At 37.7% G+C, this 18,481-nt stretch overlaps 1 protein-coding gene across 14 annotated transcripts in view; it reads right to left on the bottom strand.

The window, feature by feature from the left end:
- ROS1 (ROS proto-oncogene 1, receptor tyrosine kinase) overlaps positions 1-18,481 on the bottom strand; it is a 138,590-nt gene that overhangs the window by 38,515 nt on the left and 81,594 nt on the right. For 11 of the 14 annotated variants that reach the window (XM_017011173.2, XM_017011172.2, NM_002944.3 and 8 more), the window contains 7 exons: positions 18,193-18,395; positions 16,533-16,677; positions 15,533-15,765; positions 15,268-15,444; positions 11,305-11,473; positions 3,462-3,579; positions 357-547 (listed from right to left, as the gene is read on the bottom strand). In XM_017011173.2, the coding sequence (XP_016866662.1) occupies positions 357-547; positions 3,462-3,579; positions 11,305-11,473; positions 15,268-15,444; positions 15,533-15,765; positions 16,533-16,677; positions 18,193-18,395 (1,236 nt within the window). Of the gene's footprint in view, positions 1-356; positions 548-2,555; positions 2,947-3,461; positions 3,580-11,304; positions 13,844-15,267; positions 15,445-15,532; positions 15,766-16,532; positions 16,678-18,192; positions 18,396-18,481 lie in introns of those variants that run through there. The other 3 variants (XM_011536055.3, XM_011536056.3, XM_011536057.4) reach the window with 3 other exon arrangements.

Here is an 18,481-nt window from a genome sequence, read left to right on the forward strand (position 1 = left end):
TGTAGGAGTGGTCATAAGGCTGGTATAATGTGAATAGAATTATATGGCTGGATAGAACAGATTGTGAACAGCCTTGGAAGCCTAATTAGGAGCATGGAATTGATGTGGTAGGAATTAAGGGGGTGGCTGATTATTATTGGGGAGAAAAATGACATGATGATAATGATGTTTTAGAAAGATCACATCACATGAATGGAATAGTTTAATAGTTTGGATAATAAGATTATATATATATATATATATATATATATATATATATAGTCACCATTATCTATTGCTAATGTTAAGAATGTACTGATATTTATTACTGAACCTTTAGGTAATAAGCTAGTGTGTAGACAGACATGGTAACATACCTCCAACTAATATAATATTCTCACTGATTCCACTATATTCACCAAACCCTAGATTATTTGCAGCTACTACTCTGAACTGAAATATTCCTTTCAGGTTTTTGGACTTCCATGTGCAAACACTACTGCAGGATCCATTAAATGTCATCTTCCACCTTAAATTCTGGTTCTGTAAATTATTTGAAGTGCTCTTTCTGCAAAAAATAATAAATACAGAAAATATACATGACAATATACCTGTTATTTCTAGTTGTTCATAGATCTTCTTAGTGACTGAACGCCAGAGAGTGTCCTTTGGCACAATTTACCCTTGACCTCATTCCTCTCCCATAATCTGGCAACACAGATGCTAACAGCATGGTTTTATAGTGATCCTAGTGAGGCATGGAGCCAATTAACTCAGCCCACCAAGAAAACTGTGAGTAATCAGTGGTGAAGAGAGAGCTGAGTACCTTTTTCCTATACTAACAGCATGGGTAAACTTTCTCCAGAATTCCAAACCTATAAGACAATTATTCCATGATTTTTAACTGGGAAGTTTCCATTTTCTCAATTTTCAGTCTTTTACATTATTTGTAGTTTACTTATGCCATATTTCAATAAAATACAGAATACAAAATTGATAAGGAAAGTGTGACAGTTCAGCTACCAAAGTTATCATTATATCTGAGATTCTGAGGCTCGTTGCTTCCTTTTGTATTGACCTACATTCCACCTCAAAGTCAATCCAATTGTTTTTCATTTGAAACATGGAAGGAGCACAAGGGCTGGGTTCAAAAGACATAACTGGAATGACTTTTTACAGAATCATCAAAGGCAAGCTCAAGGTCTTCCATTATGTCTTCTCTAACAATGAAGAATATTTCAGGTCTGAAACTTTTCAGACCGCAATAGTTTTAGGACTTGGTGCCAATCCACGGTAAGCTTAGGGATATGTGGGAGAATCTGGTTCTATTCCTGCTAATTGACTCATCCTTCTGAAGACCAACAGAGAGTGAAGGCTGGCCCTCATAAGAGGCAGGGAAAGGGTAAGAACATCGGGAGCAGCAGGGCAGCAGAGTTGGTCACAGCTGTTCCCCGGAGCTGAGGGTCCCTTTAAGGACCATCCTGAGCAAAGCATTAGGACAGAGTGTTTTTACACATTTTGTGACGTCTCACCTTTAGCATTGGCCATTTCACTGTTTAACCAAACAACTCTGATCCAAAAGAAAGAGGCCCTTGAGAATTTGTGAAGTGGCTCTACACAATGGCCATTGAGAAAAGAAAGAAGAATTCTGATGTTGGTTGAGCACCTTCTATTTACAACATACTGTACTGGGGCTTTACATAACGTTGTTTTAATTCACTGAGTCCACAACAGCTTAAAGAGATAAGATAGATATTATCATCTCCATTTTACAGATGAGGAAACTTAAGTTCAAAAAAGGAAAAGAACAAGCATTTAAACATGGTTTGTGTACTGGATTGAGTCATGTCCTCCCAAAATTCATACCCACTCAGAATATTTTAATGTGACCTTGTTTAGAAATAAGATCTTGACAAATGTAATCAAGTTAAGATGAGGTCATAGTAGTTTAGGGTGGACCCTAATCCAATGACTGGCACTTGCATAAGAAGAGGGAAATTTGGACACAGAGAACACCTTGTGATGCAGGAGGTGATGATGACAGTGATGCACCTACGAGCCAAGGAATACCAAGGACTGCCAGTAAACGCCAGAAGCTAAGAGGCAAAGATGGATTCTGCCCTAGAACCATCAGAACAAGCAGTCCCGCTGATACGTTGGTTTCAGACTTCTAACCTCTAGAGCTGTAAGAATAAATGTCTACTGTTTCAAGCCACCCAGTTGGTGGTCCTTTATTGTGGCAACCCTTGGAAACTAATAAGGCTTGTTCAACTCCCAAGTTCATGCACTTTGCACTTCCACTACCCCATCAGTGAGTACACAGAGTCTAACTAGAGTGTCCTGACTGAAGGACTTATTTTGAGACACTGAAGTTACAACAATCATTCAGTCATCCTATAGTCTATGTCCTGACAGTGGAGACCTGGAGCAAGGAGTATGCAAAGTATTTAGATGGAGTCATTTTAGTAGCACTTAAGGTGTTACTCAGGGTAACACACAAAAGAGGTCCTAGCAAAAACCTGATGTGTGACCTGATTGATGAACATCATTACAGTCACAAACCACCAAGACAGTTCTGCAGGTTAGAATGTATTTCACTCTGCATGAAAAGCAGCAACAGAAACTTCAAGGAGGTTTCAATTAGAAATAAGGGCCAAGGGAATTCTCTAGTATGAACAGGAACATTTTTTAAGGTTATGGGAATGCCAGAGCCAGATGAAGCAAAAATAGATCTAAAGATCAAGTTGCCAGGACTATAATTATGGAAGTGACTTTTGTCCTTGGAACTTCTTAAAAGATGGTTTCATAGTCCTGTGAGAGGAGTGTCTTTGGAATTTGGAATTCTCCCCTCAAGTTGGCATGAAATCAGTCCTTCTAAGCCAGTTATGGTTCACGTGCTCCCCGTACTGGCCAGGTCTGAGGCTGTTCATCAGTGGCTGGTTTTCATCGACGGTGTGTTTTCAGTCCCTGGGAACACATTGCAAACTGTAATCTTCCCAATGAATACAGAATCCTGTGTGACCTCTACACTTCAGACCATTTCAGAACCTGACCTAATTTTACAGTATGAGAAATATCTACTTCATCACCATTTCTCACTAGAGAGTATTCACCTTGCTAAAGCAAATTATCATCAGGAATTTACATGCCATCATTATTTAACATTAAACATCAGCTAAGCTTTTTAAACAAAACTGATATTAAGTTAATACTGGTTGCATGAGCCTATGATCAAACAATTTCCATAAAGTGTCAATGAGCAGTTAGAGATTTCTGAGAATGACGTGATCTGTTTATAATTAGCATGCCAAGACCAACGTCTAGGAATTGAGCAAAGAACGTAATGATGCATGTGAGTCCTTTAACTAAAGATCTTTGTGTTTGTATATAAATACATTTGCATAAATAGTGTTACTTTTGATTACTTTATAATTATCTTCTTAGTTCTTTGTCATTTACAAGTACTTTGCAAACACACATACCTTATCTCAAGGATATAGTATGTAATTCTACATCCATTATCTTCAGCTTTCTCCCACTGTATTGAATTTTTACTCCCTTCTAGTAATTTGGGAATGCCTGGTTTATTTGGGACTCCAGCTTTAGGGAAAAAAAGAAAATATTGGTTGATATGTTTGAAGTATTAATCTTCTGCACTGAAATCTTTCTACAGAATATATTAAGAGGAAAGACAACATTAAAGAAATATTCAGAGGCGGGGCCAAGATGGCCGACTAGAAGCAACTCCGTTCAGAGGTTCCTATTGAAAAAAACCATAATAAGTGTGTGAGTCCTTCACCGGCAAGGTATCTAGATTCGCTCATCAAAATTGACTAGAAGGCTGGCGTGACCCACAGAGAGAAGGAAGAGCAGTGAGCCCACCTGAGAACCACACGGGGAAGGGGAACCCCCTCCCCTCCAGCCAAGGGGAGCGGCGAGCGAGCAGGCTACCCAGCCGGGGAAATTGCTTTTCCAAAGAACTGTGCAACTCATGGATTGGAAGATCCCACTCTCGATCCCATGCCACCGAGGCCTAGCATCCCAACCCTAGAATGTACAGATTCTTATGGCCTCTCAGCTGGAATCTGCCTAAGCTTACTGAACTCCCTGGGGGAGGGGTGACCAGCACAGGCTTCTGCTGCCTGCTGTCTAAGCCCTTTGAGCTCCTTGAGGGAGGGGCAGCAGCCAGCACTGGGACTCCCAACTGCCTAACACGCTAATCTCCCTGGGCGGCGGGGAGAAATGCAGCATCCATTTCTATAGCTCCAGGCTGTGCTTTTCCCCTGCGGGAGCCAGCGAGGCTGGACAGCTTGGTCCCAAGACTTGTCGCCACAACCCAACACACCAGCTGTGGTAGTCAGCGGCCAGAGTGCCTCTTCAGGTCTAACCCTCACCCATCCTTCCTCAGTGGGTGGGGCTTCCCTGCAGAATCTTCAGTAACTGCAGCCAGAGGCTCAGGGACAGAATTCAGATCTCCCTGGGCCTGAGCCCCTAGGGGGAGGGGTGGCTGCAGTCTCTGCGGACCAACAGACTTAGCCTCTCCTCCTGGTAGTTCTGAGGAATCTGGGAAGCCCAGACAAGTGGGCTTTCCCACAGCAAAACACACCCTCTCCACCAGGGGACAAAGTGCTTCGTTAAATGGGTCCTCCTCCTGGTGCCACCCAACTGGGTGAGACCCTCCAACAGGGATTGTCAGGACACCCTATACAGGAGCGATCCTACTGGCATCAGGTTGGTGCCCCTTGAAGTCAGAGGTCCCAGAAGAAGGAGCAGACACCCATTTTTGCTGCTCTCCAGCCTCCTTGAGTTACATATCCAGGCGTGGGAGCAAATCAGATGAATAAGGCCTAAAGTGAACCCCAGCAAACTGCAGCAGCCCTACAGAAGAGGGAAGTGACTATTGAAAGAAAAACAAATAAGCAGAAAGTGACAACAACAGCATCATCATCAACAACAACAACAAGGGCCCCCACAAAAAACCCATACAAGGGTCAGCAGCCTCAAAGACCACAACTAGACAAACTCACGAAGGTGAGAAAGAACCAATGAAAAAAATGCTGAAAACCCAAAAGGCCAGAGTGCCTCTTCTCCTCTAAATGATCACAATGTCTCCATTAAGGGTGCAGAACTGGGCGGAGGATCAGATGGATGAACTGACAGAAGTAGGCTTCACAAGATGGGTAGAAAAAACTATGATGAGCTAAAGGAGTATGTTCTAACCCAATGCGAAGAAGCTAAGAACCTTGATAAAAAGTTGGAGGAATTGCTAACTAGAATAATCAGTTTAGAGAGGAACACAAATGGCCTGATGGGGCTGAAAAACACAGCACAAGAACTTCGTGAAGCATACACAAGTGTCAACAGCTGAATCGACCAAGTGGAAGAGAAGATATCAGAGTTTGAAGACTACCTTATTGAAATAAGACATGCTGACAAGAAGAGAGAAAAAAGAATGAAAAGGAATGAATAAAGCCTCCAAGAAATATGAGACTTCATAAAAAGACTGAACCTATGATAGCTTGGAGTACCAGGAGGAGATGGGGAAAATGGAAACACGTGGGAAAACACCCTTCGGGATATTATCCAGGAGAACTTCCCCAACCTAGCAAGACAGGCCAACATGCAAATTCGGCAAACACAGAGAACACCATTAAGATACTCCACGAGAAGATCAACCCCAAGACACATAATCATCAGATTCTCCAAGGTTGAAATCAAGTAAAAACTGTTAAGGGCAGCCAGAGAGAAAGGCCAGGTTACCTACAAAGGGACGCCCATCAGACTAACAGTGGACCTCTCAACATAAACCCTACAAACCAGAAGAGATTGGGGGCCAACATCAACATTCTTAAAGAAAAGAATTTTCAACCCAGAATTTCATATCCAGCCAAACTAAGCTTCATAAGTGAAGGAGAAATAAAATCCTTTCCAGACAAGCAAATGCTGAGGGATTTTGTTACCACCAGGCCTGCCCTGCAACAGCTCCTGAAATAAGCACTAAATATGGAAAGGAAAAACTGGTACCAGCCATTGCAAAAACACACCAAACTATAAAGATCAATGACACTATGAAGAAACTGCATCAACTAGCATGCAAAATAACCAAATAGCATCATGGTGACAGGATCAAACTCACATAACAATACCTACCTTAAATGTAAAGGGGCTAAATGCCCCAATTAAAAGATACAGACTGGCAAATTGGATAAGGAGTCAAGACCCATTGGTGTGTTGTATTCAGGAGATCTATCTTACATGCAAAGACACACACAGGCTCAAAATAAAGGGATTGAGGAAAATTTACCAAGCATATGGAAAGCAAAAAAAAAAAAAAAGAGGGTTGCAATCCTAGTCTCTGACAAAACAGACTTTAAACCAACAAAGATCAAAATAGACAAAGAAGGGCATTATATAATGGTAAAGGGAACAATTCAACAAGAAGAGTTAACTATTCTGAATATATATGCACCCAATACAAGAGCACCCAGACTCACAAAGTAAGTTCTTAGAGACCTACAAAGAGACTTAGACTGCCACGCAATAGTAGTGGGAAACTTCAACACCCCACTGCCAGTATTAGACAGATCAACAAGACAGAAAATTAACAAGGATATTCAGGACTTGAACTTAGCTCTGGATCAAGTGGACCTAGTAGATGTCTACAGAACTTTCTAGCCCAAATCAACAGAATATACATTCTTCTGAGTGCCACATGGTACTTATTCTAAAATCTACCACATAATTGGAAGTAAAACACTCCTCAGCAAATGCAAAAGAGCTGAAATCATAACAAACAGTCTCTCAGACCACAGAGCAATCAAATTAGAACCCAGGATTAAGAAACTCACTCAAAACCACACAATTTCCTGGAAATTGAACAACTTGCTCCTGAATGGCTCCTGGGTAAATAATGAAATTAAGGCAGAAATAAATAAGTTCTTTGAAACAAATGAGAACAGAGACAATGTACCAGAATCTCTGGGACACAACTAAAGCAGTGTTAAGAGGAAAATTCATAGCACTAAATGCCCACATTAGAAAGCCAGAAAGATCTCAAATCGTCACCCTAACATCACAATTAAAAGAGCTAGAGAGGCAAGAGCAAACTAATCCAAAAGCTGGCAGAAGACAAGAAATAACTAAGATCAGAGAAGAACTGAAGGAGACAAAGACACAAAAAGCCCTCCAAAAAAAATCAACACATCCAGGAGCCGTTTTTTTTAAAAAATAAAATAAATAACAAAATATACCACTAGCTAGAGAAATAAAGAAGGAGACAGAGAAGAATCAAATAGACACAAAAAAAATGATAAAGGGGATATCACCACTGACCCCACAGAAATACAAAATACCACCAGATAATACTATAAACTCTTCTATGCAAATAAACTAGAAAATCTAGAAGAAATGGATACATTCCTGGATGCATACACCAAGACTAAACCAGGAAGAAGTTGAATCCCTGACTAGACCAGTAGCAAGCTCTGGAATGGAGGCAGTAATTAATAGACTACCAACCAAAAAAAGCCCAGGACCAGATGGATTCACAGCTGAATTCTACCAGAAATACAAAGAGGAGCTGGTACCATTCCTTCTGAAACTGTTCCAAACAATGGAAAAGGAGGAATTCCTTCCTAACTCATTTTATGAAGCCAGCATCATCCTGATACCAAAACTGGGAAGAGACACAACAACAAACTTCGGGCCAATATACCTGATGAACATTGATGTAAAAATCCTCAATAAAATACTGGCAAACTGAATCCAGCAGCACATCAAAAAACATATCCACCACGAACAAGTCGGCTTCATCCCTGGGATGCAAGGCTGATTCAACATATGCAAATCAATAAATGTAATCCATCACATAAACAGAACCAAAGACAAAAATCACACGATTATCTGAATAGATGCAGAAAAGGCCTTTGATAAAATTCAACATCAACATCCCTTTATGTTAAAAACTCTCAATAAACTAGGTTTTTATGGAACATATCTCTAAATAATAAGAACTATTTATGACAAACCTACAGCCAATATCATATTGAATGAGCAAAACCTGGAAGAATTCCCTTTGAAAACCAGTACAAGACAAGGGTGTCCACTCTCACCACTCCTATTCAACATAGTATTGGAAGTTCTGGTCAGGGCAATCAGGCAAGAGGAAGAAATAAAGGGTATTCAAATAGGAAGAGAGGAAGTCAAGTTGTCTCTGTTTGCAGATGACATGATTTTGTATTTAGAAAACCCCATCATCTCAGCCCAAAAACTTCTTGAACTGATAAGCAACTTCAGCAAAGTCTCAAGATAAAAAATCAATGTGCAAAAATCACAAGCATTCCTTTACACCAACAATAGGCAAGCAGAGAGCCAAATCATGAATGAACTCCCATTCACAATAGCTACAAAGAGAATAAAATACCTACGAATACAGCTAACAAGGGATGTGAAGGACCTCTTCAAGGAAAACTACAAACCATTGCTCAAGGAAATAAGAAAGGACACAAATAAATGGAAAAACATTCCATCCCCATGGACAGGAATAATGAGTATCATGAAAATGGCCATTCTGCCCAGAGTAATTTATAGATTCAATGCTATTCTCATCTAACTACCGTTGACATTCTTCATAGAATTAGAAAAAGTTATTTTAAATTTCACATAGAATCAAAGAAGACCCCATGTAGCCAAGACAATCCTAAGCAAAAAGAACAAACTTGGAGGCATCATGCTACCTGACTTCAAACTATATTACAAAGCTACAGTAACACAGCATGGTACTGGTACCAAAACAAATATATAGACCAATGGAGCAGAACAGAGACCTCAGAAATTACACCACACATCTACAACCATTTGATCTTTGACAAACCTAACAAAAACAAGCAATGAGGAAAGGATCTCCTATTTAGTAAATGGTGCTGGGAAAACTGGCTAGCCATATGCAGAAAACTGAAACTGGGCCCATTCCTTAACCTTATACAAAATTTAACTCAAGATGGATTAAACACTTAAATGTAAAAACCAAAACCATAAAAACCCTAGAAGAAAACCTAGGCAATACCATTCAGGACATAGGCATGGGCAAAGACTTCATGACTAAAACACCAAAAGCAATGGCAACAAAAGCCAAAATAGACAAATGGGATCTAACTAAACTAAAGAGCTTCTGTACAGCAAAAGAAACTATCATCAGAGTGAACAGACAACCTACAGAATGGGAGAAAAATTTTGCAATCTATCCATCTGACAAAGGGCTAATATCCAGAATGTACAAGGAACTTAAACATATTTACAAGAAAAAGACAGACAACCCCATCAAAAAGTGGGCAAAAGATATGAACAGACACTTCTCAAAAAGGGATTTATGCAGCCAATAAACGTATGAAAAAAGCTCAACATCACTGATCATCAGAGGAGTACAAATCAAAACTACAATGAGATACCATCTCACGCGAGTCAGAATGGCAACTATTAAAAAGTCAGGAAACAATAGATGCTGATGAGGGTGTGGAGAAATAGGAATACTTTTACACTGTTGGTGGTAAAGTAAATTATTTCAACCATTGTGGAAGACAGTATGGCAATTCCTCAAGGATCTAGAACCAGAAATAACATTTGACCCAGTAATCTCATTATTGAGTACATACCCAAAGGAGTATAAATCACTCTACTATAAAGACACATGCACATGTATGTTTACTGCAGCACTGTTTACAATAACAAAGACATGGAACCAAGCCAATCCATCAATGACAAACCAGATAAAGAAAATGTGGTACATATACACCATGGAATACTATGCAGCCATAAGAAGGAATGAGATCATGTCCTTTGCAGGGACATGGATGAAGCTGGAAGTCATCATCCTCAGCAACCTAACACAGGAACAGAGAACAAAACAGCACGTGTTCTCACTCATAAGTGGGAGTTGAACATTGAGAACACATGGATACAGAGAGGGGAACAGCACACACCAGGGCCTGTTGAGGGATAGGAGCTGAGGGGAGGGAACTTAGAGGACAGGTCAATAGGTGCAGCAAACCACCATGGCACATGTATACCTATGTAACAACCCTGCACGTTCTGCACATGTATCTTATTTTTTAAGAAGAAATTTTAAAAAAAGAAATATTCAGAAATATTCTTATATGATTACATATTTTTAAATGAGCATTTGAAGTTTTTATTAGTGATGGATTTGATGAATTGGTGATAAGATTAACAATATATCTCAACTTGAAACAAAATAAGTGATAAATGAAAATAAAGAAAACTATCATAAGTTTTGGAGCATTTTCCCTCCATTCTTTTTTTCAAATTTTTTTATTTTTAGTTCTGGGGTACATGTGCAGGACGTGAAGGTTTGTTACATGGGTAAACATGTCCCATGGTGGTTTACTACACCTAGCAAACCATCACCTAGGTATTAAGCCCAGCATGCATTAGCTATTTTTCCTAATACTCTCTATCCCCCCACCCCTCCCCCTGACAGGCCCCAGTGTGTGTTGTTCCCCTCCTTGTGTCCATGCGTTCTCATTGTTCAGCTCCCACTTGTAAGTGAGAACACGCAGTGTTTGGTTTTCTGTTCCTGAATTAGTTTGCTGAGGTTAATAGCTTCCAGCTTCATCCATATCCCTGCAAAAAAACATTATCTCATTCCTTTTTATGGCTGCATAGTATGCCATGGTGTATATGTACCACATTTGCTTCAACCAGTCTAATGTTGACGGGCATTTGGGTTGATTCCAAATGATTCATTATTGTGAATAGTGCTACAGTGAACATACGTGTGCATGTATCTTTGTAATAGAATGATTTATATTCCTTTGGGTATGTAACTAGTAATGTAATTTCTAGGTCAAATGGTATTTTTGGTTCTAGATCTTTGTTCCTTCCATTCTTATAGAGCTCATCTCAGAGTTAAGGTATATCTTTCAGAACACTAGTTAATTTTTAATGAACTTCTTATATTTTTCATCCTAGTATCTCAAATATAGTAGCCAATAAATATTTTTTGAACATTCAGTAACACTATTTTCATATAGTTATCACCATAAAATTGTCATAGCTAGACATGAAATAAGGATACTGAAAGAAGAAGTAATTTTGCCCAGTTCAGGATCCAGCCAGACCCAGCCAGTATTATTTCATTACTGCCTGCAAGGTCTCCTATATTTTCTGAATTTCTTCATTCAAGTTCTAGAAATAATAATGTACTGCTTTTAAAGAACAATTTCATATATCTCTAGGATTAGTGAAATAAGTGATAAGAAAAAAACTGAAACACAGAGTTTTCTGAGTATTGAGTATGTTAGTACTCACCTTTTGTCTTAAAGCTTTCTGGAAGTGAGGTGCTATTTTCTCCCGTCTTATAAACCACCACTACTCTGACATTATATGAAGTATAAGGTTGTAGATTTGTGATATTACAGACATAAGCAGGACCTTGGCTGCATGAAGTTTTAACATGGTAAAACTCATTGTATTTCCACTAGAAAAAGAAGTCTCGATTAATATTTTTGTTTCTCTAAGAAAATATTCTTAAAACACAAAAATGTATAGGCTTATAGCAAGTGGTTAAAATTTAAGCATTCTTTTCTATTAAAGAATAAGAACTTCTTTATGAATGATCCCAAACATTACCCCACTGCCTATAGTCGTTTTGCTTTTTATGACAAGATATAACTGATTTACATGACTGTTCATGGGAGAAGCTCAAAGTGGGACATACACCTCTGACTATATGTCAACGAGGAAGATTCAGAGCTATGACTTCTTGTTATCCCAAAGGGTAGATACCTACATTTAATCAGGATGGCTAAGAATGCAAATCCATAGCTGTGGGACAATGATGGATCAAAACAATGGTAATTTCAAATCCCAGGGATTTGTTAATTTCATAGCAATAATATTTTTACATGTTTTGATTACATATTTTGATAAAGAAGTCCACAGTGACTTACAAACTAAGACTTTTTTTTCCTCCTAACACCCTCTTCAGACATGTAAACAGAATTCTTTATTTTTATATACTGGAAGCCTACATAGCCAAAAGAAGAAAAATTTTGCCCACTATTATGAAGCTACTAAGTAGCAAGGCTAGAAGCTAAATACAGAAAATCTTGTTTTCATTCCACTTTAGATATTGGGCCTCTAATTGCAGCTATCTGAAATTTCTTGCTCTGTGACATTGCTTTCTAAAAATCTGTATATTTGGATCCTTAGTATCATTATTTGAAAATGATAATTTCTTAACATACAAATAGGAAAAGACAAAAAGATATGGCAATTTGTCAGGGGTTCTTGGTGTATTTTCCCTGTAGAGTTTCATAAAAAGGTCAGTTTCCATAAATAAACTTAATTTATATCTTCTTTTTCACTTAACACTCATGAGGTCACATCATTTCATTAAATGGATACTTTATATTAGTTTTCTATTCAGTAAGGAATGATTCTCTATAGCATTTTCAGTCAGTAGACCACTATGTACAGTAAGAAAGGGGAATAAGGGAATGGAAGGAATGAAAACTTAAAAAAATAGAACTGCTGATGTCAGGGACATTGCCTGCACTAAACTCATAAATGTATCAATCCTGCTGAGACATTTAGCTTAATAGCTTAATGAAACGGGTGCATTGAATCCATAATATTTACTGTGAACCTCAGAGAGAGAGAAATTAACTCCTGGCCAAAAAAAAAAAGTCTTAACTCTTTATGGTTCTGTCTCCTTCATTATCTGGTGGAGAAATTACCTATAGTGAATAGTCTAGGTAACCCAACATTCCAAACCATCAAGAAATTATCAGAGCTCCTTGAAATGTCAGGAGATGTTTGACCAAGCTTACCGCTGGAAAATGGTAGAGTGTTGGCATCACCACAGCAATGAGTGTCTGGGCAGACCACCAACTTGGAGAGGTGCCACAGGATATCCCAGTAAATCACAAGGGTGTCAGGACTTTCCATTTGTCAGAAGCCAACAAGTGCAGGGGTGAAGGCTACCATAGAGGGATTTTCAAATTATGTGGGTGGGAGTGAGGGGGAGTGTGAGCTAAGATGTCTGAGAGTTTGGAACTTCAGAAACTTATGGTTCTGCTAGGGATTTGCCTGAACAGCTGAGAAAAACACAATTTTAATGGACTTCCGTGAAAAAAATTACCAAACAAAATTATTTGTTTCCTCCCCATTTTAAATATGTTCTTCTTCTATACACTGTTGTGAGTTTCTTGTATTATATAGAATTTAAGATCTAGATCAAGCTTGTCCAACTTTCAGCTTGTGGGCCACATGTGGCCCAGGACGACTTTGAATGTAGCCCAACCCAAATTCGTAAACTTTCTTTAAACATTATGAATTTTTTTAGGGAATTTTGTTTAGCTCATCAGCTATCGTTAATGTTAGTATATTTTACATGTGGCCCAAGACAGTTGTTTCAGTATGGCCCAGGGAAGACAAAAGATTGGACACCCCTGATCTAGATCGAAACTTCATCTTGTGCTCTAGTTCCCTCATTTTTCAGATAAGGAAATTTTGACAGAAATGACAGAGACAAAGTTTATCATTTTCTTCCTGTTTCCTTTCTAAAACATTACTAATTAAAGAGACAAATATTCTCTTTTATTGCCCACTCCTCAGAGTTTCAGTATGCAGTTACGGTATTATTTCCAGCTGTCCTGTCATTGTGAGATAGGCTCAAGTTGTTCAAAAGAGACAGCACTTTCTGACTATATAGCACTCATCAACCCTTGCAGAACCACAGACTTTTACTGTACTCATAGTTAGTATTTGTAGATGGCCACTCATGTACAAATGACTCTATCTTGTATTTGCAGCTTCATGATTTTCTAAATGGTCTGCCTGGAACCTGTGTTGAGCAAATGTGAAAACAGAGGAAGTTTAGAAACAAAAAGCACTGCATGAAAGTCATGAGAATTCAACCAGGAGATCTCTGTCTGCTGTCCTTCTCCCCAAACTTGAAAGAGTGGGATGGATGACTTAATGACTCCTATTCCTTCCACGGACAGCACCCTAATAGGACTGCTGTAGGGAGAAGTCAGCCCTGGGGTTTTTCTCTGCCTGGTGACATCTGGCATCTGTCTAGATCTCCATTTCTGATCAATAAAATGAGAGGCTAGGGTGTCAATTATCTCTGAAGTCTTTTCCCATTTCATTTCTTTGATAATCTTGGAAATGAACTTTACATCCTTCCTCTTGGTTTTAGACTGAACTGCATTAAGTTTACTAAAATAGATGTTATTTTAAAAGGCACTCCTCCAATTTCTCCAATTTAACTGCATTTTTATAAGGTGGCAATTTTTTAAATAGACAACAAATTATCAGAAACATGCTCAACAGAAAAAGTCCAATGAAACTATGGTCTTTGAGTTTATCAACTCAATATTCAGTGTTGTTCCACAGTTTTCATAGTTTTTATCTATAAAGTATAAGATCACAAAAATACCTTACATAATAATTTTAAACATCCTGGGGAATAACTGCATTTTAAGAAGTAGTGAGGCCATGATTATACTGATTTGCTTTTGAGTTACCACTGAACAAAACATTTCTAATTAATCTTTAAAAACACGTACACATACATAGGCCCAGAAATATACAAACATGCACATGCACATATATAATAGTTAAAATAACAAGTAGCAATTATAAAAAATTAATAATCAATTTTGAGTTTATCACCATAAAAGTCAATGTAGGCTTTCCCCATCAATGAATTAATCAGGTTAATTGATGACTTAAAATTCAGTGGGTGCTTCCTTATTGGTTAAAGCGTGAAAAGTTTTGGATGAGGAATCATTTAAAGTTTGCAAGCCAACAACAAAACTACTTTAGAATAAGCTGGTTTTATGGTTTACTTCTCTCTTGTTACTGCACAGCCCTTAAAATGATGAAAGAACATTTCTAAACAAGGTTTTGGTTTTTTCTTTCTTCAGTTCTTTTTCATTTTTTTTTCATGGAAAACACCAAGTTACTATGGACTTTAAACCAGAGAACCATGCTAACATCTAAACTAAGTAAAATATTATAAAATTAGTACACTATAACTTATACCCTTTTACATAAAGCCTTTTAAAAGCAAATTAATCTCCCTGAGAATTCTTCCCACCAGAAATTAGTCTGGATAACTCACTGCTTCTGCATGCCAAACATAAATCAATGAAAGTTGTCAAATATATTGTTTATTTATACATGAGCATGTTCTAGATGCATGAAAAAGCCCTTTCCAATTTATTCTATATCATAAAATAAAGACTTGCATTAAAAGTCTACCTTCTGTAGCTCAACCCAAAATCTGATGAGGTTAACATTCAATGGAGCCTTCCAATTAAATTGCAAACTAGTGTTCTCTGGAACCAAGGAATAAGGTTTCTCTGGTGTGTTAAACATTTCCACAGTGACAGGATGACTCTCTGTACACCACATTTCCTCAGAGTGGCAGGCAAGAACCTTTTGGTAAAAAAGAACAATTGCTTAACCTTTTGAGAGCCTTGCACTTGAGAATGACAATAAAGAGTGCCTAGTAAACTCACTGTACCTTTAACACATAAATATTTCCACCAGACAGTCTAGTAACAAGGAGAGTGAGCCTTCCATTTGGAAATTCACTTTGTCTTAGAGGAGTTTCAGGAATTAGGGCCAGGTGTGAGATTGCCAACTGATAACGGACTGATTCTTTAGGTCCATTTGGCTTGTGAGATTCTCTCCAAGATATAATGAGGCTGGTGTCTGACCGCACAGTTGTATTAATGAGCTGCACTGCCTCTGGTACTGAAATAAATAGCAAGGAATGATAAAGGATGCTGCAATAGCACTGAAAGATGGAAAGAAGTAATGGAGTTTGGGTTGAAGAGTAATCATGTGGTATGAGCAGAATAAATAACACATGTCCAGAAAGAAAGTCAGCCTCTTCTATAATCGTAGGTTAACAGACTGCCTAAAAGGCTCCCACTTATTTTTGCCCAGTGACCAAATCATTCTCTGACTCCAGCTCAAGGATATGGCCAACGGGGAATAACCCAATTTGGGTGAGTTTTGTGAATATCATCAGAGACATCTGAAATAAACGTCATCACCTCATAATAATCACCACCTCATCAGCTCTTAGAAAACCTTTTCAGACCTATTTTCTTTAAGGCTATACTGTTGCATAACTTTACAGCTCAGGCCTCAGTAAAATTCACATAGAAAAAAAGCTTGGTTTTTCTATAGCTCACCACATGTACAGAAACCTATGAGTATCTGGAAAAAGTGACACTGTGTGGTGAGACCAAATAATGTGTTTCTTGGTCAAACAATATTGATTTCAATGTTTTACCTCCTAGTTGCTTTCTATTTTAATAGAATATTATTAGTTAGCTTCAGGGGTTAGAGTAAGGGTCAGGTCAAAGTTTTCTACAAACACATTTTTCTTATTAAACTTAAAAAAGCTTACTAAAATTACTTCGCATTCAGATTTTAAAAAATAAACATCAACATACACAGCACATATATCACAATATTCTGCTTGAGAAACCCACAACAAGCCCATAACTTACCTCCATTTTTAGTTTTTCCCCAAATCTCTTTTCCTGGTGGTAAATGTTCCAAAGGATCTGAATAATAATTTTTTACAGCTATCTGTATCATGTATGTTGAAAATGGTTGTAAATCTTCAATAAGAGCTATACTGTCCTGAAATTCCTGTAATTGATTTTTTAAAAATCAACATCTTATTTTTAACATTTTATACAAATTGGTAGAAATTATTTAATCAAAGAGAGAACAAAGTTAAAGGCTCAAAAAAATTAATTTATTTTAAATTCTGGATTATTAATGGTAATACCACTGTCCAATCTACCCAGACCTGAGTTGTTCAATGTTTCCAAGAATAAATACCAAATGATTGGTAGCCTTCAGTTGGTTTTGTGGCATAAATTGTTTCACATGGGAAGTTAAATTCCTAGAAGAGGACACTATTTCATTAACATTGTATTAGAAATTCAGCAAGATGGTAGAAAACATGTGACACATATGTGAATACAATAAAATATTTTTATAGTATCTAATCACTCTTAGAAATAAAGTTTAAGAGAGTAAAAAGACTTTCCTTAGACCAATGGTTCTCAACTTTGTTTATACTTTGCTATCATCTGGGAAGTTTTAAGAAACTACTATGCCTGGGTTCTATTGCCAGAGATTCTGATTGAGTTATCTGGGGTGAAGCCTAGATGCAGAGTGTTTTGTTTTTTTTTTTTAAAGCTTCGATGTGCCGCCAAGGTTGAGAACCACTGTCTTAGACCACTGTTAATCAATGAGAAGACAATAAGATAGATTAAATTTAATAACAGACATGACCAGTGCTGCCAAGTCCAATCTTGGCCAGCCAAATGATCTATCTGAAATTACTTATTTTAGAAATGTGTAAAAAGGGTTAATTAGACAAAATTAAGGAAGGAATGAAAAATCACATACACTTTATGGGAAAACATATAGTGTTTAACATCCAACAGTTAGTCAATTTCACCTTTTGAACAGGCTAAATAAAGCCAAGCACAAAGCAAAATATTGGATATATGTGATTCCATCACTAAGACAACTGAAATACTAATGAATACATTTCATCATTTCAATGATTGAATGAATAGTGCCAATTCATTCAAGAAATAGTTAGTGAATGCCTACACAGTGCCACTAACTGTGCTAGGTGCTAGGCATACAATGATGACTAAAAACAGTATCTGCATAGCAGTATATTTCTCTGCACATAGGAAACAAAAGACAAAATATAATGTACAATTTTTATATTAGATAAATGCTGTGGAGAAGAGGTATAAGGCAATGTTCTTTCCGTCCAGTTCATTTCTTACTCTTCAATCTTCAGTCTGCTCCATAGGCTGCAAAAATAATTCTCTATCATTCTCTCTGAGGATAATTAGATAATCAGGGAGGGGAATAAACCCAATTCTTTCTGGACACTCAGAAAACGGTTACCATGGCAATCCATCAATGGGCAAGAGTTGATATACTTCCTTGAAGCTTAACTTACTCCCAGTCAAGAAAACTAGAACACAATATGTTTTGATGAATCATTAGCTGTAAAAAAGTTGCGTACTAGTCCATTTCAGAACATATAGGAAATACTTTACTATGGCTCATAATTTTATATCAAAAAAGAACATCTTGTGAAAAGACAAAGACCACTAGTTCCAATCTTACCAGAATTCTATATTTCAAGTCAGAGCTGTTTTTCCTGTCATTAACTTCTGCATAATAAACCAGGTATGTTGGAGTAGGGCTGGTGATGCCATACCATGTGAGGTTTGTCTTGGCCAGAGGTAATCTGATTGTGAGGCTAGTGTTAGTGGCATTAAGTATAGTTGGTTCCACAGTGTCTGAAGCTAGAGACAGAAACGCTTTATCTAAAATAAGAAGAAACCAAAAGATTAAATATCTATACTATATATATGAGAGGAAAAGCAGATTTTTAACAAGAATAATATCAAAG

Source organism: Homo sapiens, chromosome 6 (assembly GCF_000001405.40).
Source record: "Homo sapiens chromosome 6, GRCh38.p14 Primary Assembly".
Taxonomy (NCBI): Eukaryota; Metazoa; Chordata; class Mammalia; order Primates; family Hominidae; genus Homo; species Homo sapiens.